This window comes from Homo sapiens, chromosome 7, assembly GCF_000001405.40.
Source record: "Homo sapiens chromosome 7, GRCh38.p14 Primary Assembly".
NCBI classification, from domain to species: Eukaryota; Metazoa; Chordata; class Mammalia; order Primates; family Hominidae; genus Homo; species Homo sapiens.
The window spans coordinates 3340681-3363608 of NC_000007.14; the positions used below are offsets into that span (position 1 = coordinate 3340681).

General features: G+C 38.6%; 1 protein-coding gene and 1 long non-coding RNA gene across 5 annotated transcripts in view; one reads left to right on the top strand and one right to left on the bottom strand.

The window, feature by feature from the left end:
- The window catches only part of SDK1-AS1 (SDK1 antisense RNA 1), a 108539-nt gene extending 97134 nt beyond the window's left edge, over positions 1–11405 (bottom strand). For all 4 annotated transcript variants that reach the window (XR_001744897.3, XR_001744898.3, XR_007060194.1 and 1 more), the window contains exon 1: positions 1–11405. This exon is cut by the window's left edge and continues 38452 nt beyond it. This is a non-coding gene — a long non-coding RNA (SDK1 antisense RNA 1).
- Positions 1–22928, top strand: part of SDK1 (sidekick cell adhesion molecule 1) — a 967749-nt gene that overhangs the window by 39429 nt on the left and 905392 nt on the right. The window lies entirely within an intron of this gene.

Sequence of the window (22928 nt, forward strand, 5' to 3'; positions counted from 1 at the left end):
TGAACCTGGGAGGTGGAGCTTGCAGTGAGCTGAGATTGGACCACTGCACTCCCTGGAGCCTGGGAAACAGAGCAAGACCCCGTCTCAAAAAAAAAAAAAAAATCATCTATGAAGCACAATAAAGTGCAATAAAACAAGGTATACTGTAATGTTAAAGCCATTAAAGAAATTGAATTCTTAATTGAAATGCTCCCTTAAAAAAGAAAAAATCTCTGGGTCCAGATGGTTTCACTGGACAATTTACCAACATTTAAAGAAGAATTAACACCACTTTTATTCAGTCTCTTCTAGAAAACAGGAGAGAAGACCTAGAAAACAGGAGAGAAGACCTACAAAGTCATTTTGTGAGTCTAGTATTACCCTGACAGCAAAATCAGAGACAGCAAAAAAGAAACTCCACAGTTCAGTATCGCTCATGAACTTAAAGGCAATGATCCTCAAGAAAATATTAGCAAATCAAATAGAGTAATTAATAAAAAATATTTAACATGACCAAATGAGATTTATGCCAGCCATGCAAGACTGGTTCAACGTTCGAAAATCTATGCCACCCACCATATCAACAGACCAAAGAAAAATCAGCATCTATCAGTTGACCTATAAAAAGCATCTGACAAAATCCAACATTCATTCATGATTAAAAATTCAGAAAACTAGCAATAAAGAACTTTCTCAACTAAAGAGCATCTAACAAAAGCCTTCTCCAGCTAAGACCATACTTCATGATGAAAGATGGAATGTCTTTCCTCTCAGGTTGGGAACAAGGCCAGGATGTTCAGTCTTACCTTTGCTGTCCAAAACAGTAGTACTAAAAGATATCCAGACCAAAAAGGAGGAGCAAAACAGTCCCAGTTTACGGATTACATCATTGTTTATCCTAAGAAATCTAGAAAAAAAACTTCTTGAACTGAGGAGTTCAACATAGTTGCTGCATACAGGATCAACACAAAAACCATGTTTCTATACCCTAACAAAAAATATGCAGAAACTGAAATTAAAAACACAATGCCATTTATGTTCTAAAAATTGTGAAAAAGATACAAACTTCAACATGTGTAGGATATTTGTGCTGAAAATTACAAAACTGATGAAACAAATCAGAGGACCCAAATGTTGCCACAAACCATATTGACATACTGGAATATTCAACACGGTAAATGTGTCAGTTCTCCCTGAATTATCGTAGCTTTTATGCAGTTCCTATATAAAATCCCAGCAAAGATTTTTGGTAGATACATAAAAAGGTTATTGAAAAACCTGTATGGAAAGGCATAGGCCCCAGAATAACTAAAACGATCTAGTAAAAGAATAAAGCAGTTGGAATCACTCTACTGATATTAAAGCTTTCCCTTATAGTGATAGTAATCAAGATACACAGATCAATGCGGTGGAACAGAGAACTAAAAAAATACATAAATATGCCAAATTAATTTTTGACAAAGGTGAAAAAGCAATTCACTGATAGATTATTCTTCTCAACAAATGGTGTTGGAGCAGAAATTGGACATCCATAGACGAAATGATCAACCTTGATCTAAATTTTATATTTTATACAAAATTAACTCAAAATAGATTATGGACATAAATGTAAAATTGTAAAACTCTTAGGCAAAAAAGGAGAAAGTTAGCCAGGTGCGGTGGCTCATGCCTGTAATCCCAGAACTTTGGGAGGCCGAAGTGGGTGGATCACCTGAGGTCGGGAGTTTGAGATCAGCCTGACCGACATGGAGAAACACCGTCTCTACTAAAAATACAAAATCAGCCAGGTGTGGTGGCACATGCCTGTAATCCCAGTTACTCAGGAGGCTGAGGCAGGAGACTCGCTTGAACCCAGGAGGTGGAGGTTGCGGTGAGCCGAGATCGCATCGTTGCACTCCAGCCTAGGCAACAAGAGCGAAACTCCATCTCAAAAAAAAGAAAAAAAAAAGGAAGTCTTCAGAATCCAGAACTAAGCAATAAGTTCTTAGTCTTTACACCAAAATCACAATCCATAAAAGAAAAACTTGGTAAGTTAGAACCAGTTAAAGACTTTTTCTCCATGAAAGAGCATATTAAGAGGATGGAAAGACAAGGTACATACTAGTAGAAAATATTTTCATCTGTCTGCCAAGAGACTAATACCTAGAATATGTAAAGAACTTTCAAAATTCAATAGGAAAAAACAATCCAGTTGGAAAATGGACAAAAGACATCAACAGACTTTTCACCAAAGAGGATATTTAAGTGGCAAATAATCACAGAAAAAGACATACATTCAGTATTACTAGCCATTAGGGAAATGGAAATTAAAGCCATAGGGAGAAAACTTCTGCTAAATGGCTGAAAAAAAAAAAAAAGCACCAAATGTTGGTGAAGATGCAGAGAAACATTGCTCATACATTGCTAGTGGGAATGTAAAATGGTACAGCCACTCTAGAAAACAGTTTGGCGGTTTCTTATAAAACTAAACGTAGAACTATGATACAACTTGGCAAGTGTACTCTTGGATAGTTATCTCAGAGAAATGAACACATAATCATGCAAAAACCTGTACACCAATGCTTAGAGAAGCTTTATTTATAATAAATACCCCTACACAGGAAACAGCCCAGATGTCCTTCAGTGAACGCATTATTGAACCACAGTACTTCTGTATCATGATTACTTCTCACAATAAAAAGGGCCAAAGTATTGATGCACCTACTGTGAATCTCCACATCGAGTGATAAAAAGCCTATTCTAAAAGGTTATATGTTGTATAATTCCATTGATGTAATATTTATGAAATGACAAAATTCTAGAACTGGATTAGTGGCTTCCAGTGGCTAAAGAGCAGAAGAGAGTAGGACGGACATGGATGTGGCTAATGAAAGAGTGACATGTGGGATCCTTGTGGTGGTGGAAATACTCTATCTTGGCTGTATCGATGTCAATAATCTGTATGTGGTATTGCACTAGCTGTTCAAAGTGTCATTGTTGTGGGAAACTTGGTCAAGGGTGAATGGGATCTCTGTAGTATTTCTTACAACTGCTTGTGAATCTGTAATTATCTCTTAATAAAAAGTTAAATATGAATGGACTGACTTCTATTAGAAGACAAGATTGGAAAGTGCCTTAAAATACAGGTGATAACAAGTAACTCTTCAATTGTTAAAGGGGAAGATGAAAGTGAAGAGATGGGCAAAAAGATACCATACAAACAAAAAACAGAATGGCAGTGTTGATATCAGATCAGTTGAGACTAACAGTTGAAAGCAGTAAACATATTACGGACATATTATTGATAAAAGACATTTATGAAGAGGATAAACTGTGAAGGTGTACAGACACTAAACCATAGTTGCTAAACACATACAACCAAAAAAAAAAAAAAAAAACTAGAAATGCATGTATATTTTCACTAAGTTTAGTTAGATCAAACAAAGCAATAAAAGGAATATTTTGTACCAAAGCCTATGGACACAGTGAAAACTGTGTGCAGGGGAAAAAATCTACAGAATTAAATGTCTTCAGGATTAGAGAATACAAAGTAAAAAGTGAACAATGAAACTCCCTACATGTTCAATTTTAAAAAATGTTTTAAAAATGGTGGTAAAATATATCCTAATTTTTCATCTGAATCATTAAGTATACAGTTCAGTAGCATCAAATACGTTCACATTGTCGTGCATCTAGTCTCCACAGCTACTTTTATCTTGGAAAGCTGAAGCTCTGTACCTAGCTCAGGATCCAATTTTTTTTCTCGTTAGTTGTATAAGAAAATTCCGACTTACTTAAGTAGTGGCAGTTATTAGCTTTTGAGAACAGTTTCTCTTGCAGTTTCAAGATGTGCTTTGCTTATGTTGATATGGAAGCTTAAAAGAAGAATTGTAGACAGTTTATTTCCAGGCTGAATAAAAATGTGACAGTTGCTCTTGTTATCATAAATAGAAGATACCCCAAAATTTGCAACAAATGTTAAAACTGCATTACCATTCTCAGAATAGGTGGATATCGTGTTCTTCTTCGTTGTTGCTGGACTGGACGTAATGGCATGCTGATAGCACGTTTCAATCAGATGGGCCTGAGCCCTGTCTAGTGTATAATTTACCTTTTCATATATACTGCAGGAGTGTCCCTGGTAGTAAGTTCTGAGAGAATGAACGTAAAAGTTCAGCAGTCCTAAATTCAGAAAATGATGAGTGGTGAGCCTTTGTAGTTAATGACATGATTACTGCCAGTCTTACTGTTGTACAGTAATAACAAGAGATGCTTCATTTCCAGGTCCACACAAGCACAAATTGACCTACCACACAGGGTAGTGCTTTGGGGACAACTTATGTAAAAATCTGAATAGTACCCATCTGATTATGACTGTTGTGCTTTATTACAGATTTTAAAACATATTGCAAGAAGTTAAGCGTTTATAGAAGTCTTTGAAGTCTTGTTGTAGAACTTCGGGTCTCCACGGAATGTGGTTTGATCACTGCTGCATTGAAGTACACAGAGGGCATGTTATTAGGAACTGCATTTTGGATTTGGAGGATTTTATTTTCAGATAACTTACGGATTTTATAGTGAAAATGCTTATGCTGATACCTATTTCCTGGTTTCTCTGGGACCTGACTTCTTCCAGATAAATAATATCTTCAAAAGAATACATTGAAAAAAGATATTGGGACATGACATATGTTAGGAAACAAAAAGAGACTGAACTAACCTTTTAATATAAACGTAGTATGTCAGCAAACCAAAGTAGCTGTCATTAAGAGATGAGAATTTCCTGAAAAAAATTACGTAAAATCCTACTCAGTGATATTAACACATTAAATATATTTAACTTAGACATTCTTACAATAAGCATGATTTGCAATGCCATTTTATTTAAATGGCAGAGAAACCCCACCATTCAATAACATGAGTTATCTTTTTTTCCAGGAAATTATTTCTGATTTGAAGATGGGAGTATAGTAACATATCAGGGCTTGTAACATGTTTTCAGAAACCCAAATTCCAGGATGGTGGCACGGCTGAAAAGACTCCTCAGCGTTATCTGTTTTCCCAGGCGATGCCTTGCCGTCTCTTTCCTGTTTCAGTGCTTCTCTAGAGTATTGCCTCCTCAGTAGTAAATAATGTTGTTCCATGAAATTTGAGATTTTTCATATTGAATAGCTTCTCGCAGTAATGTTTGATCCTTTATGATGCAGGTCACCCCATCTAGATGACACAGCTTGGGCTGCCGTGACATTGGTAGTCAGGCGTTCAGTCTGTTGGAATTGCAGTGTCATCACCCACTGCAGTTATTCGGTTCTTGTTTTCTGTCTTTTAAGCATAATAATTAAAACAGTTCTTTTAGAATAACCCCATTGTTAGATGTTTCTGGCACTTGTACTCCTGGATAAAATGTTTTTGGGTCTAATTTTTAAGATTTAGAGTCTCAGTTTTTCCACATTGCAACTTGTGATACTGCATCCTCTTCTGCTTAAAATCTTTCAGGGAGGTTCCTACTGTCTTAAGAATAAATTTCAGACTCCTGTGCATGCACAAATGCTGCTCATAATAAAGCTGATTGTGCCCTGCATGTGGGCACCAGCGAGAAGAGGAGTCCTGCCAGCTTGTCTGCAGCTCTGGGGCTGGTTTCGGTGGGTGGGGACCTTTCCCCTTCACTGAGAGGTGTCACCTGGGCTAGTGGAGCTCCTGTGAGCCTCCGTGCAAGGCTGTTCATCTAGCTTCACTTTCTTCCTAGGCTTGTCTCTCCTTCCTGCCAGCACTACAACGTACGTATGGTCCTGATCGATGAAGCTACTTCAGATTCCACAAGTGTGCTGTGCTTTCTGGTGCCCTTGTGGTAATAACAATAGAGTTAACATTTATTTATTTTTAATTTTTTTAATAGTCAAGGTCTCACTCTGTCACCCAGGCTGGAGCTCAGTGATGTGATCATGACTCAACTGCAGTCTCCAACTCGTGCTCAGGCAGTCCTCCTACCTTAGCCTTCTGCACCCCCACACCTGGCTAATTTAGTTTCTTTTTTTTTTTTTGGTGTGTGTGTGTATGTGTGTTTGTGTGTGTGTGTATATATGTATACATATATATATACACGTATATATATGTGTGTGTGTATATATGTATATATGTATACATATATATGTATGTGTGTGTGTGTGTGTATATATATATATATATATATTTTTTTTTTTTTTTTTTTTTTTTGGTATAGCAGTGTTTTGCTATGTTGCCCAGGCTGGTCTCGAACTCCTGGGCTCAAGTGATCCTCCTGATTCTGCCTCCCAAAGTGCTAGAATTATAGGCATGAGCTACTGCACCCAGCCCTGAGAGAATTATTTATTCTCCTCCTTCTCTGCTAAACTAATTGGAGAGAGTTTCACTTCATACACCAAAGTCTGCAGTTAAATTCTTGCTGTTCCCTGAAAGACTTTGCATCTTCGTGCTTCTGTTGGTTGCCCATGCCATTCCCTCTGCTTGCTTTCACTGCCTCTTGCATCCAGACGTTAGCCGGTTAAGTGGAGTTGTACTTGATGCCACTTCTTCCAAGAACTCTTCTCCAGGTGCACAAACCAGATTTTTTTTTATATTCTTTTAGCAATTTTGTAGTACTCTGACAACACTTGGCACATATCTTCTTATACTCTTTTGTATATGGAGCAGTATTTTTATAGGTGAAAGAGTCTAATTTTGCATTATTAGTGTATATATGATATGTTGGATACCAGTTGGAGATCTGGTGATGTCATAAAGCTGTTGGTCTTACTATGCCTTTCCCAGAAGTACCTGATGAAGTTGGAACAAAATAACTTTTCACCTATTCTCTGATTACTACAGTCAAGGCTCCAGAACCCTAGCCATTGGGCTCAAATGTGCCGTTGAAGGTGATTTTCTGTTCCTAGATATTTTCAACCTCCCTGTTTCATTTCTGACCAATTTTTAGGGCCAGAGGCTAATCCACTAGAACAATATTTCCCTGTGGCATGGTTTTTAATTTTGTTCTGAATTTAGTTTATATTCCTAAGTGGCTTTACAAGTTTTTTCTCCCCATGCCCTCAGAGGAAGTTATGTTCTTCTGAACCTTCTGGGTACCATTTTAGTAAATTAAGAATTCAGTTCACTGAATGCTACCCCTGTGGCCTGAAAGAGTTAATACAAGTTTCTTAAGTACTTTATTAATTCTCAGGGAATAATTTATGCACTAGAGCGTGGCTTAGTATCGAGCCAGTTACAAACACATTAAATATGTTTTTTTTTTTTTCCTTTTGTGTAGTAAGTCTCTGAAAATAAGTGGAGGTTCACTTTAAGTGTAAGTATTTTGCTTCCTAAGTACTTAAATATGTATAATTCCACAATGAGAGAAGGAGTATTATAACAGAGGATGAGGTGGATTCAGGTCCTAGCTCAGCCCTGCACTTCTGTGAGGCCTTGGTGTGTTTACCTCCCTAAATGTCTCTCACCTCTAAAGTGGGGACGATGTTTACATCACAGACAGCAAAGCTCAATGATGATGCACTTAGGTTTTAATGCATAGCCCAGGCTTACTGCTTGGGTTTGATTCTTGGCTTCACTACTTGATAACTGTGTGATCCGAGGCAATTTTATTACCCTCTCTGACTCAGCTTTTTCCACTGTAAGCTGGAATAATGCTAGTACCTGACTCACAGTTGTTACGAAGGTAAGTGTGCAGTAAATGTGAGCCATTCATATACATCATGGACTACTATGCAGCCATAAAAAGGAACAAAATCATGTCATTTGTAGCAAGGTGGGTGCAGCTGGAGGTTGTTAGTGAATTAACACAGGAGCAGAAAACCGAAAACAACATGTTCTCGTAAGGGAGAACTAAACATCGAGTGCATATGGACATAAAGATGGGAACAGTAGACACTTGAGACTACTAGAGCGGGAGGGAGGAAGACGCAGGGCGGTGAAAACCTACCTGTTGGGTACTATGCCCACTACCTGGGCTATGGGCTCGTCTGCACCCCAAACCTCAGCATCATTTAGTATCCCCATGTAACCTGTGTATGTACCCCCAAATCTGAAATAAAAGTTGAAATTGTTTTTCAAAAAGTGAGCTGTTATTTTTTTTAAATACTCATTTGGAGGACTTTCTGAGCTGATCAAGTGAAATAAAATAAAAAGTGCCAAGTACTATGCCTGGAACATGGCAGCAAACAGTGAATAGAGGATGACTTTTGCTTTTATTAACTACTTAAGGTTTATCTATAGCAAGTTCCAGTCTTAAGATGCACATGTGAAAAGCTGCCTGTCACATGAAAGAGTTTGATGCCATGTAGCTTGTCATGTTGTCAGACTCTGTCCCTGGAGTGTGCCCCTCACGTTTTTGTGCATGTCACTGTGGCATTTATGTGACTGGTCTGCGCTTCTTTCTCCTTTTTACCCCTTTGGCTGCAGGATGTTGAAGTGCACTTCAGTTTTGTCGTTCTCATTTCCCTTCTGGATTCTTGCTCCTCTCCTACTTCTGCTGCCTCCTTCCTCAGTCCCCCATTGCCTTCAGCTGCCCTGTGGTTGCAGTTTAAAAAAAAACAACAAAAAAAACACAACAAAACAAACACACAACAGCCTATTTAGATGTATACCTTTGACTTTATGAGGGCTGTGGTTTTGTGGGAAGAGCAGGGTCTCACCCTTATTAGACTGTGGTTCATAATCACTTAAAGAGAACGTCATTCTTGGAGTTACTCATCTGAAAAAGAAGCCTGCTCCTCCAACTGGAAGGGGAATGGGGCTGGGGAGGGAGGGGGTTACTGTTGGATGGAACTGTGCTTGGCTATTGGACCTGAGTGACTGAACACAGTGTCCATGAAGGAGCTGGCTAGGCATGTGTTCTGCGGGGACCAGCCCTGTGAGGGCAGAGGACTAAGAAGCGAAGGATATGGGCAAGGAAACTGTGGAAGTCATACCTGCCTTTTTGGGCCAGAGTACATGTATCTTTTATTTTTTTTTGAGACGTAGTCTGGCTCGGTCGCCCAGGCTGCAGTGCAGTGGTAAGATCTCGGCTCACTGCAAGCTCCACCTCCCGGGTTCACGCCCTTCTCCTGCCTCAGCCTCCCGAGTGGCTGGGCCTACAGGCACCTGCCACCACGCCTGGTTAATTTTTTTTTGTATTTTTAGTAGAGACGGGGTTTCACCGTGTTAGCCAGGATGGTCTCGATCTCCTGACCTCATTATCTGCCCGCCTCGGCCTCCCAAAGTGCTGGGATTACAGGCATGAGCCACCGTGCCCGGCCTAAGAGTACATGTATCTTAAGACCACATCCTGGATTGGTAGATACAGAAGGTTTACTCCTTGGGCAGTGCTGGACTCTTGATGAAGTAGCAGGTAGAGGATGAAGTTTGGGGACTTTGTGCCTCTCACATTTATGCCTGCTTTTTAATGTAGCCCAATAACAAAAGGTCATGCTATTGGTGATGGGTGGGTAAGGTACCTACTAACAGTAAGTTTAGCTTAGGGAGAGGTAAGCCATTTTAAGTCTATCAGTATATAATGGATCACAGAAGGAGAGAGTGGGAGACACTCAGTCTATCAGAAAACATAGGATGGATGTGCCACAGAGGAAGAAGTTGTCACTTAACAATGAGTGTGGAAAAAAACAAAGTTTATCAGTGTCTGTGTGGGCGTTATTTATTTGGGGACAGCATCCTAAGGCAGGCATATTCCCACAGTGGAAATGGATGTGGTGTGATGCCATGAACTTGTGAAGCAAGTGAGTCCCTTTGTTGTGATTCCAAATTTACTCAGCACATAACTGATTATTATCTGCTCCCCAGTGTAGTTGTAGTGGGACAGATTACATTGCCCAGAAGAGTTCAGTATTCAGTCTTCTTGGTGGTTATTTTGTTGTAAATTAATAATACTGATAGTATGTCATTTTGCTTTTTATAATTGATTGTCTTTAACTTTGCCCTGAGGCATTTTTCCTAATCAACTCTAGACCATGATAGAGCCTTTGGGCCACAAGACTAACAGTCTTACCTTGAACCACCAGTCAGTGAGGTGTTTGGGAAAACCTTTTCCTGGTGATGTCTCATCTTTTCCTTCTACAGTCACCAATGTCATATTTACTGTGTTAAGATGCTAGGCTTTGTACTGGCTTGTTTACTTCTCACGATTTATCTTGCAGTATGATAGTTTGTGTGACACTGAAAAAAATTAGTAGGACTGTTAAAATAGTTTTTTCCCCCCATTAAAAGTAGAATGACACCGTTTTGCTTCTGAAGAATTTGGCTTTAACTGGTTTATATTTTGAGCTGGGTATTAAAGGAGAATTATGGTAGGGTAAACACAATTAGTGACATCTGGTTGCCCCAAGAATCAATAATATCTGATACTACATACATAAATAGATATCTATGTTGTGATAATATATCTTAGTTTCACTGGGTAAAACTAGAAGAATAAAAAATTTGAAAACAGCTTGGTTACTGACTAAGCTGCAGCAGTTCTGAGAGCCTACTGTTGTCATTTTTAATGGGCAGCCTTGTACTTCCATAGATTGGTTAATCTTAAAGGCCAGATGGTAGTTGTATTGTAATTTCATAAAGATTTTATGTCCTATGTTTTGCTTTCAACTAGAAGCATGAGAATTTAGGAAAGTTATATTGAGACATATAAATAATAAAAATTGGTGAATCATTTTACCTAACAATTTATTGATATTACTCAACACAAGGAGAAAAATTAGAAAATGGACCTTAACACCACTGTCTACTATGAAGACAGTATAGAGGAGGCAGGAAAAACAGAAAGCACACAATAACATGATAGCTATAAATTCAAGTGTCAGTAATTACAATAAATGTAAATAGACTAGAGGATTCTGCTAAAAGACACGTCAGATTGGATTAAAAACATCTGAGATACTAGGTTTACAAGAAGCATATCTAAAAACAAAGATACAGAAGGCAAAATAATGGAAAATTTTATTTCAGGCTCACTTTAAGCAAAATAAAGCTGGTATAACATGTTGATATCAGACAACATAGAAATCAAGGCAAAAGGCATTAGAGATGAAGAGGATCACTGCACAGTGGTAAAAGGTTCAGTTCAGATATAGGTACATATTATATAAAGCAAAAATATACAGAAACAAGAAAAATAGCTGAATGCACAATCCTAGTGGGAAGTTAACATACCTTTCTGAATAGTACAACTTGCAGACAGAAATCTTAGGATATGGAAGACTTAAAGAACATGATCAATGAACAAATCTGACCTCATGGACATTCATAGAATGTTACAGTTCCTGTATAATCCATTCTTTTCAAGCACATGGAGCATCTGACATTGATTACATATAGGAATATAAAGCAAGTATTGATAAATTTCAAATGATTGAAATCATGTAGAGTATTTTTCTTACGGAATTATAGAAGGAATCAACCAAAAGATAACAGGAAAATCCTTGTATGTCAATAAATTAAGAAGTATATTTCTTATAATGTATAATATATAATTTTATAAATATATAAATATATATTTATAAAAGTTTCATTTAAAAAGTTTTACAAAATGGAAAAATCTGTCACTTAAATACAAAATCACTGTACTTCTGACCCTACTAAATGTAAAAATTGTCAGGATTTGGGAGGTTTTTTTTTTGATGTCCAAATACTTGATACACGTTCCAGAGATCCCCAATATTTTTGTGAATTCTTCTTAGGAGGCTAGTGATCATGTATGTGGGATTAGGAAAGTAATTGTTTGAGCTAAATGGGGGAAGAGATCATTCCTGCTGGTAGCAGGGAGGGTGTGCCACGACGAGAGATCTGTGGATTTACTGAAAACACGAGATTTACATCCAGAGCTTAGTTCACAGGCTGTGGCTCCTGTTTTTATTCATTTAGAGGCTGATAGACCAGCTGTGCCTGTAGTTACGTGTTCTTTGGCCAGACACCTAAGGAAATTTGAGGCTCAGACAAGCTGAAGTAGATATTTCTGTTTCCATGTTGAATAACAGAGCCACTCATGGGCTGTCACAGATACACTGTTTGGGGTTTTACCATTCCTTCCCATTTCCATTCCTGAAGGAAAAAGAGAAGAGATTTTTCTTTTTTTTTCAGATTATTACTGTGTTGGTGACCTAGGGAAACCCTTTTTTTTTCTCTTCTCTTTTCACAAAGTTCTGAGGAGCATGAAAAAATTGAGGTATTCACAGTGTCTGGGGAGGAAATGAGTTCTGTCCTGTATTTTCCGAAGAGTGGGAATCTAAATCGGAACAGGCACCAGGTTGAAGAAATAATTTGTCACATCATGGATGCAGGAACAAGCTCTACATGGGAATACTTTGTTGTAGTTAGGGTCTGTCTTGAGGGAAAACAAGACATAAAGGGTATGTGAAATGTTTTCTGGTGATCATATCCCACCGTGTCATTAGTTCTTTTAAAGTACTTTTTCTATATTATCCCAATTTAGCTTTTTTTGCACCCTGCAGCAATTCTATTTCTATTTTGTTTCCTGTTATCATTGTTCCCTTTTCTGAGTAGAGGATAGATAGGTAAGTGGTGTAAGTAATGGCATGGAAAGATCCAAGAACCATTAAGTAGATTATATCCCTTTTTACTATCCTTTTCTTAAAGTGCTTGACTTAATTCTGAATAGCCACTTACAAACTTTGATGAGTATCTTTCATCTTGGGGGTTATTTTGAAAATTGATGGCATTTGGAATAAAAGTTGCTATAACCTTAGTGTACGTTTGGGTTTATAAAATATACTGAACATAGGAACTCACATGACTCCCAATTTTTGAAGTAACCATAATTTCTAAAAAAAATTCAAATGAGCTGAGTTACATTTATACCACTCCTGGGAATTATTAGAATAGCATATGTTCTCTGTTTATGCTCTTTGTAAAATTGGAAAAGTAATGTGTAGCTCTTTTTAGTAGTGCCCTGTGTGTAGTTTCTGTAACAGTTCTGTAACTGTAACTTACCATTCCAGTCTATTTCTGAATGGTTAGTGGAGCTGCCCGTCAAAGCCAGACCTATTACAAGGGATGATATTTCCCCTGTCATGAATAGAAACTATTGATGACTCGATTAACATACAAGGATGATACAGTTCATGGTTAAAGGGAGCATGCTTCCTTTTGCTGGTGAAGGAACATTAACTGTAGATTTCATCTAGAAGATCACTAGAAAAAGCAGCCTCCCATGTTTGAGCGTGTCCTGCATGTCAGTTTCCATGCAGATGCTTTCTGTACGTCTTCACGTCCTCCTCATCCATGAGGTTGGAGGTGAAAGTTACGTAACTGACTTGCTCAGGGAACACATTTCATGTTGCAACCGGGCTCCATAGCCACATTTCAGACCATTTTTCTTTTCTTTTTTTTTTTTTTTGGGACAGACTCTCGCTCTGTTGCCCAGGCTGGAGTGCAGTGGCGAGATCTCGGCTCGCTGCAAGCTCCGCCTCCTGGGTTCACACCATTCTTTTGCCTCAGCCTCAGCCTCCCAAGTAGCTGGGACTGCAGGCACCCGCCACCACACCCGGCTAATTTTTTGTATTTTTAGTAGTGATGGGGTTTCACTGTGTTAGCTAGGATGGTCTTGATCTCCTGACCTCATGATCTGCCTGCCTTGGCCTCCCAAAGTGCTGGGATTACAGCGCCTGGCCTGACCATTTTTCATTTAACCAGCATTCAGATTATTAAGTCAAACGGAAAAAAAAAACAGGGATATAAACCTATTAGAAACCAATGTGACTGTTTCATGCCTTACATTTATGTCTGGAAAGTTGAATATAAGGAAAAAGTTGTTTTTTGAAATAGTTTTTCATTGGTTCCAATGATTATTCGAGAGTTTTCCGTGAAAGAAGTATAGGTAACATAATAAAAGTTAAAGTTAACAGTCTTAACACTTCAATTGTAAGAATATTTTGTGGTGTCAGTGTATTAATAGCTCCTGAAAGAAAATTGTCAAATGTAATCAGTCTACATTTTTTTCATGTGTATCAAAGCTACCCATTTATTAAATCACAGAAGTTAATTGTGTTTCATTGGGAATTAATATTGACTTTATAGGTCTTGGGTAGATTATTTAAATAGCCCTGCTAGCTAATATGTTAACCCCTGCCCTTATTACAAATACATCCTGACGGATAAGGGCAAAATATTATTGACTAGATTATGCTTGAATATCTCAAAATGAAAACAGAATGAAGCAGCTAACCAAGGAAACGATTGGACTTAAAGTGTACGTACTTGATCACGTTAAAGAGGCCTCACTGCTGTGTAACAATAGATGCTTAAAATAATCCACCAGCCAACACTCACTACATGTGAAAGTGGTTTACTTTCTTGTGTCTGTGGGGAAGCTCTAATTATATGATTATAATTAAGCTACAGTTTATTTTCTCATTTTCTCTGATTAAATTGTGGTGGGAAATATCTGGCCAAATCTAGTCTTTTCTTAGTCATGTTATTTGTTAATTCCATTGACACATCTTATTAAAATTTGCAGCAAGGTGTTTTCCTGTTAAAGTAATTGAAGATTTCAGAGTATCTTATATCTAAAAATTGTGAATATTCTCTGAAACTAGACCTAAAGTTCTTAAAATATAAATGCGTCATTCACGTAGATTATGGAGTTACTTTTAAAATGTAGCTATCCACTGAAGAAAATTGTGAAAATGTCCCATTAACGATTTGCAAATTTATTTATTTAGAGATGGGGTCTTGCTTTGTTGCCTGGGGTGGAGTGCAATGGTGCGATCGTAGCTCGCCATGGCCTCCAACTCCTGTGCTCAAGCAGTCTTCCTGCTGCCTCAGCCTCCCATGTTGCTTGCAATTACAGGCCTGAGCCACTGGGCCTGGCTGCCATTTGTAAATTTAAATCTTAACACTTATGTGGTGTTTCCAGTTAGATTTCTTCTCCGTTCTTTGCATCACCTTCTTAGATCTTCCCCATTCTTCTCAATCCCCTGTTCCCTCCATCTTCACGGTACCTTTCATGGAGGAAATAGAAGCCATCACTGGGAATACCCTCAGCTTTCCACCGACAAATCTATTCCTGCAGACACCCGTCATTGCAATTTATATTTTAACAAAGGCTTCTGATCCTAATTTCAGGAAATAGCCTCTAAACTCATCTATTAGTCCCAAATTCTTTACCCATTTAATCTGCTATTTTATGCCTCCTATATTCTTACCTTCAGATGTTGAGAGGTTGGGGCATAAAACTTTGCAGCATGTCTGCAGTCTTCCCTCTAGAGTGAACTTGATCCTGCTGTTTGTTCTTTTTATTCTCTTCAAAGTTAAATCATGTTCCAGCATTCATGGTATTTCTCCAGCTTGTCCTCCACGCTCACCCCATTGTCATGAGGACTGCACTGAACAAATAGACACCTTATAGTGCTTATAGGCCATAGTTGCTGACAGATAACACGGTTTAAAAAGGAAGTTTCACAGCCTTGTAGCTTATGAATTCCCATGTCAGCCTCATTAGCTTTTACAAGCTATTTTCTTAGCTTGTAAGAATGTTGCTAGGGATTCACAGTTAATATAAATATCTGTAGTTTTGGAAAATTGAGACAGTGCTTGCCCTTCTCTAGTCATCCTGTACCTTTTAGATTTGACCTCTTTTTTGGGGGGTGGGGGTTGGTGGTGAAATATAACAAAGTGCATAAAGCAGATGTACAGTTCAACCAACTGTAAAATAAACATCTGGGCAGTTGCCGTGCACATCAAGAAGTAGGACGCTGCCAGCTCTCGGAAGCCCTCGTGTTTGTTACCGCTCTTTAAAGATTGAGGCAGGTGTTCCATGACCTTATCCCCAAGTCTCTGTGTTATAATTCATACGAGTTGGGAGGCTGCAGTATATTTGGATGATCTAAGACCTCCTCCTTTATTTTTGCTTACCATTGGATTTTAGTTTTCTCTTTCCAATGTTTATTTTCTGTGTGTATTCTGAAGATAATTTTATCTGACCAAGAAAGTAGGTATAGAACTAAGTGTGTTGTCTGTAATTGTTTGTTACAATATAATATAACTAAGGAAACTTTTTCAATTTTTGCAAACCCAATTTTATTCTGCTATTGTTTCCTGATAGGAATTTTGGGAATTTTAGAGATCCCTGCGTTCTTTTGTACAAAAAATACATCTTTCTGAGGCCAGGCACGGTGGCTCATGCCTGTAATCCCAGCACTTTGGGAGGCCGAGGCCAGTGGATCACGAGGTCAGGAGTTCAAGACCAGCCTGACCAACATGGTGAAACCCCATCTCTACTAAAAATATAAAATTAGCTGGGCATGGTGGTGCGTGCTTCTAATCCCAGCTACTCAGGAGGCTGAGGCAGAAGAACCGCTTGAACCTGGGAGGCAGAGGTTGCAGTGAGCCGAGATAGTGCCACTGCACTCCAGCCTGGGTGACAGAGCGAGACTCTCTCGAAAAAAAAAAAAAAAAAAAAAAGATACTTCTTTCTGTTAAACATTTCCTTTAAAAATCTAAACTCATCAGAAAAATACCTGCTTGACCACATTAATTTCTTGAAGTATCTCTTTCTTTTCCTTTTGGAATCATGTGTTTGTAAAGTCACATGATTTAATCTTCTAGAGACTCTGGATGCTTCTGTTGTTGATGTATATGTGCACACTCACAGTCTTAAGGAATTTGGCATTTTATGTTTCACTGTCTTTTTACTCTTGCTCCCCTTCTTTTAGTGTTTTTTTTTTTTTTTTTTTTTTTTTTTTTTTTTTTTTTTGAGGCAGGGTCTCACTCTGTTGCCCAGGCTGGAGTGCAATGGTGCGATCACGGCTCACTGCAGCCTCAGTCTCCCTGGGCTCAGGTGATCTTCCCACCTCAGTCTCCCTGGCATCTGGGTTTCAGGTGCATGCCACGATACCTGGCTTAATTTTTTTTTTTGTAGAGATGGGGTCTTGTTGTGTTGCCCAGGCTAGCCTTGAACACCTGTGCTCAAGCAATCCTCCTCCCTTGGCCTCCCGAAGTGCTGGGATGACAGGCATGAGCCGCACGCCCAGCCCACTCCCCTTCCTCACCAGTCTTGAGCCTCCTGTTCTCCTTTTTCCCCTGTCTAGGCCCTCACATCCCTCCACTTTTCTCTTTTTCCCCATGACTTGGTCATGACACAGAAACAAAGTCCCCAGTGACAGTATCTTCTCAAAAACCAAACAGTAAACTCTGAACTTTCTTTGCTATTGGATTCATGATTTGTGATTAAGCGTATTTTCCCCTTTGCAGGCTCTTAGTTATGTGTGGTAGATGTACTTCTAAATTACATTTGCTTTAAAAATATAAAAAGTATAGAGTAACATAAATGATGTAGCATAATAAAACTTTAAATCATTAATGATATTCATAGATTGACATATAAGCTATTCCCAGTCATTTTCTTTTTTTCTTTTTTTTTGGGGGATGGACAGAGTCTTACTCTGTGTCCCAGGCTGGAGTGCAGTGACAGGATCTCGGCTCACTGCAACCTCTGCCTCCTGGATTCCAGCGATTCTCCTGCGTCAGCTTCCTGAGTAGCTCAGACTACAGGCCCATGCCACCACCCCCAGCTAATTTTTGTATTTTTAGTAGAGGCAGGGTTTCACCATGTTGGCCAGGTTGGTTTTGAACTCCCGACCTCAAGTGATCTGCCCGTCTCAGCCTCCCAAAGTGCTGGGATTAGAAGCATGGACCACCATGCCCAGCCCTCATTCATTTCTTGTACTAGAAGTGGTGATCTTTGACAATTTGTTTTAATATGAAGTTGTTTTAATGAGGGGCAAATATTTGGAGCAATTAGCTAATCATTACAACGTTTTTTTTTTTTTTCTTGTTTTGTTTTTCTCTTTTCTTTTTTTCCCCCAGCTACTGCTCCTCGCAGAGCAGGGCTAACCCATAGGTAGTGTGCCCAGAGTCAGCCATCATTACATTGTTCACGCTTACAGCATAAGTTAAGGTAGGACTCAAAAAATTTTTCTGTAAAGACAATCTCAGAATTAAGTGCTTTCAGGAATTACTATGCAGCTAGAATTTTCTGTAGGATTGAAGGTTCTAGCAGCTTTGAGCATTGATACTGATCTTGAGAATGAATCCAATTGGCAGTCATCCCCTGGAAGACTTAATTTGAGGTCTTTATACGTACTTGCGCTACAGTAAATAAGAATGTGTCCTAGATGGAGGCAAAATGGGGTGGGTTTCAAGCATTTAATAAATGTGTTAAACATTTTAACTATTATTTCCTCTTTTCAATTTCAAATAGTGTTAAATGATTGTTATGGGTAGGAATAGGGTAAACCCATTTCTAGGGCATGGTTTAGAACATTGGTGCAGTTTTTTTCCCAAGAATATCTTAATCACAGCCCTGGTTTTTAGTCTGTTTTTCTAAGAACTCCGGGAGTTATGCTGGTTTCCTCAGGGATTGTTTTTGGCATTTTCCTCATCATAGAACCTTATGGCATCACCTTGGAGACACAGCGTTAGTTTAAGGAATGGACATGTGATCACGCAGGTCAATTGGAGTCCCATTTGGTGCTTTTCTGTAGGAGTAGCAGGGAGAGACTGCCTCTTCTGGTTGGATTGCTAGTGGTGTGTGGGCTGCCAAGTGGCCCCCTTCCTGGCACCAAGCAGAATGCAGCACACACAGGGAGCAGAGCCCGGAGGCTTGAGCCTGATGGCACTTGAGGAATCTGGGTCCTGGAATGGTAGATGTCCTCCATGCTACCCACTTGCATAGTGAATACATTGCCTTTTTGTCTAAGGTTAAGTTTTCGTTGTTGTTGTTACATGCAGAATTGAGAAATATGGCCAATATCTTAGGGAAGGTGGCAAGTTAGGAACTGTACTAGCAGGCTATTAAAAGAATCACAGAGGCTAGTAGCCTTTAGTTTTTAATTTTTTGATTGTCTATTTTTGCTTGTTTGTGATGAGTATTTCTACACCTGGCCAGGGATGCATTCAGATAAACATTTTGGATACCTCCTCTAAAGTGTCTGTCCACACCACAGGATCACCGCCTGGTCCCTTAGTGCTGACATTCCACTCCAGGAGATGCTGGGCTCCCGGGTGGCGCGCTGTGAGGATGCTCGAGCTGTATCAATTGTGAACCTCACTTTCAGGAGTTCAGTAATTGTGAGACGGTATCTTCAGGCATTGTGGAACTCTTTGGGGGATGTGACATTCCAGGGCATTCTGGAGAAAGGAATAATGTTCAGTAATAAAACCCTGGAGACAGGAATTCTTACTGTACCTGTGACCCATGAAGTCTTAGGGCAAATGTAGAAGGCTCTGTTTGGCTGAATGAATCTTGAGGCATCCACCTTGCCTTGGAGTTACTTTATTTACAGCAACAGACACACTCACAAAGAAAGTTTGTAAGCAAAATATTACAACACTTTGTTTTGCTTCTGGTTCTGCCATTCTGCTGTCATCTTTGCAAGCTGCAAAATGTGAGGGACAGGAGAAGAGAAGTTTTTTTCCTCTTATGTCATGGCCTTCAGCATTCTTAGACCAGAGCCTGCTTTCTTTAACACTCTAACCACTTTTATTAGTTTGCTTATTCAGTGGTAGAATGTAAACTCCAAGAGGTCAGGAGTCACACTAGTCACTATATTCCTGGATAGCCCCAGCCAAATACCTGACACAGCAGGTGCTTGATAGACAATCTGTTGAATTATATGCAATCTGTTGAATGAAGCTCTTAAGTTATCTAGATTTTAGGAACTACTGGGGCAGATTCTCATCAGACAGGTGCAAAGAATGGGTATTTTAAAGCAATTAGATTTAACAGAACATCATTATGCAAATGTAGCTCTGGGATGTCCCACTCAGATGCCAGGCTTATAATGTTATTGAAGTGTTACATGAATTTGTGTGTGTTTGTGGGCGGAGTGGATTCTCTTGTTAATATTGGGCCTCAGGTTTATTGATATTTTCGATAGAAATAACTTGAAAATTGCTGATGAAAGATACAAATGTTTCTTTCCCAGGTGTTTTAAATTTTCTTAGGAATATATGACAAGCTGGCGTTGGATTGCGTGTCCTAGGTTTTGTTACCTTGGCCCAGTGCTGCTGTCACTATCCCAACCACCTGGTCTGTCTGATCCTGGAGCACTGGGTGAGAAGCTGTTTATTCTGTCAGTCTGACTGTATTAGCAGTCCCCCCTCCCCACAGAGGCAGAGAAGACTCCACTCTGTTATGTAATTGTGAGTGCTGGGAGATAGTGGGGGGAGTTATAATTTAGGGAATTTCCATATTGGAGATAGTACTGCCTATGTGTCATGATGCATTTGACATCATATGGGTTATTCATCGATGGGTTATTCAACACGTTTGAATAGTAAGGCCTCCAATTGCCATTTATAGCATATGTGCTAAAGAAACAAAATGGTGTGTTGGGAGTTACATCCATCATCTTTCCCCTTTGGTTGAAATTTAAAGTGACAGACTGTTGTACTTTAAAAACCGTATTGATCAAATCATCTTAAACACATACTAAATTCCTAGAAAAAAATCTGCAATTGATACTGTAGTTTTTTCTATATTACAATTATTTATGGCCAGGTGTGGTGGCTCATGCCTGTAAACTCTTCGGGAGATTGAAACGGGAGGATTGCACTCGCATCTGGATAACAGAGTGAGACCGTGTCCCTTAAAAAATTCATTTTAAAACCCGAATTGAAATTAGTCGTAAATTTTTAAACACTTATGGTGAGAACATTTGCATTTCTATCATAGGACCTCTGTGTTCCTTGTTCTTCTATTCCACTTTCTTGTCCCACCTTCTGGTAACTGTGGTTCTTGCTTTTTCTGTTTCAAGTTCTTGCCCTTGGCTTCTCTTCCCTTCCCAGCATCTCTGCCTGCCTTGGGTTTCTTTCTACTCTCTCACCTTCGTTTCCCACATCTTCTCTATTTGTTCTCCGCCCTGTGATTCACTCTATATTTAAATCTACAATTTTACCCTCCCTCGTTGGTTTATTTTTTAATTGTTTCTAAATCTCAGTAAGCAATTTGAAATAAGAGCAAGGTGTGGTGCCTGATCAATTACCCTATGGCTGCCACCTCTTTAGAACTATTGGCTTAGAAATCACCTTTGGTCACACGAAATAGGGCATTTATTGCAGGTTTATTAGTGGGGAGAAATAACAATTGTTCCATGCACAGTATTGGTGCGTTTCTATTCTCAATCAATCAAGAATAACCGGTGAATTTTCCAAGATGGTTATTTAAAGTGCTATACTAATAATACTGAAAGTAAGCCATATGCACAACCTGGCAATTTTTTAAAATATCTTTTAAGTACTATATATCTAAGAGCAGATTACATTTTCAGTGGCAGTCCTCATTTTCTCCACATTGAGTTATGTCTTGGTACCACGCTTTATTGCAAAACTCTCACAACTAAAGGATTTAAAGTTTATTATTGCGATTTTAAAGCAGGATAGAAAGGAAAGGAGAGAAAAATAATTTTTCTGAGTGAAGGGACCTAGTTCTTATAATAGCATTTTGATCTGAGGACTGTGCTGTGATAAATAACTCTTACTGTAGAATCTAGATGAAATTAACCCTGGGAGAACCCTATATATCCCTGAGGCATTTGGTGGCCGACTACGACAGTGTGTAATCTGTTTTCACATAGTATAGTACACAGATGTATATGTGAGCTGAGTGTAAATGCAGACTTCTTTCACCTTTTTGAAGACTATCTTTTTGAAGACTTTTCTTGGAGAGGATTTATCTAACACCTGTTTGAATCTTCTCTTTTTGTTATCGTGGTGATCTTATTTGAGTAGTATTTTGGTGATTGTGTTTGATCATAAATATATAGCAGCAGAAAATTTTTGCAGCACCAAACTCATAATTCTTGGATTTACCATATCTAAAGGAATGCCAATTTTGCATATTTTTTCCTATATCTTTACAAGCCTCATTAAAATATTAAACTTAAAAATTTTTTAAAGCATAATTGCGTTTTTCTTTTCAAACTTCTGAAGAAATGTACAAGATTTAAAATTAATTTTGATAAATTAATTTGCATTTACTTTGTAAGCCAGCACTTTGTAGTGTGAAATAATATTGAAAATGGGAAACAATATGTATTGATAATTAAATGAATATACAACCAGTTTTCTTCCCGGAAGACATTTTCATGTACCATGTAAAAGGTACTTTTTGGAATTATTTATACTTTTATAGTTTTCCATGCGTGTGTGATTAGACTTCTGAGAAAACCTTGGATAATTTTACGATGATAAACATTTATATTTCATTTCAGTGTAGTTCAGTCACTTAAAAATATCCACTTAATTTTATTTTGGGGACAACTGTAGATTCACAAGCGGTTATAAGAAATAATACAGAGAAATCCTCTGCCCCCTTCATCAGTTTCCCCTTATGGTGGCATCTTGTTAAATGTGGAGCAATGCCACATCTAGGATATTGACTTTAGTACAGTCAAGAAACAGAACGTTTCCATCACCACAAGGATCTCTCATGTTGCCCTTCTGCAGCCACACTGACCTCTCCTATCTCCTTCCACACTGCTCGGCAACCATGAATCTGTTCTCCATTTCTATAAATTTATCATTTCAAAAATGTTATATAAATAGAATTATACTTTGGATATTGCTCTTTTTTCATTCAGCATAGTTCCCTGACGATTCATCTAGATTGTTTTCTATTTCAGTAATTCATTTCTTTTTTATTAAGTAGTGTTCCATGGAAACTGTGTACCACAGATTGTTTAACCATTCACCTATTAAAGACATCTGGGTTGTTTCCATGTTTCGGTGGTTACAAATAAAGTCGCTATAAACATTTGTCTATAGATTTTATTGTGTATCCATTTTTTTCTGTGATAAGTGCCTAGGAATTCAGTTGTTGGCTTGTATGTTAATTGTATGTTTGTTGTTTAAGACAGCGGCCCCCAACCTTTTTGGCACCAGGGACCGGTTTCTTCAAAGACAGTTTTTCCATGGACCAAGGGTGGGAGGTGGTG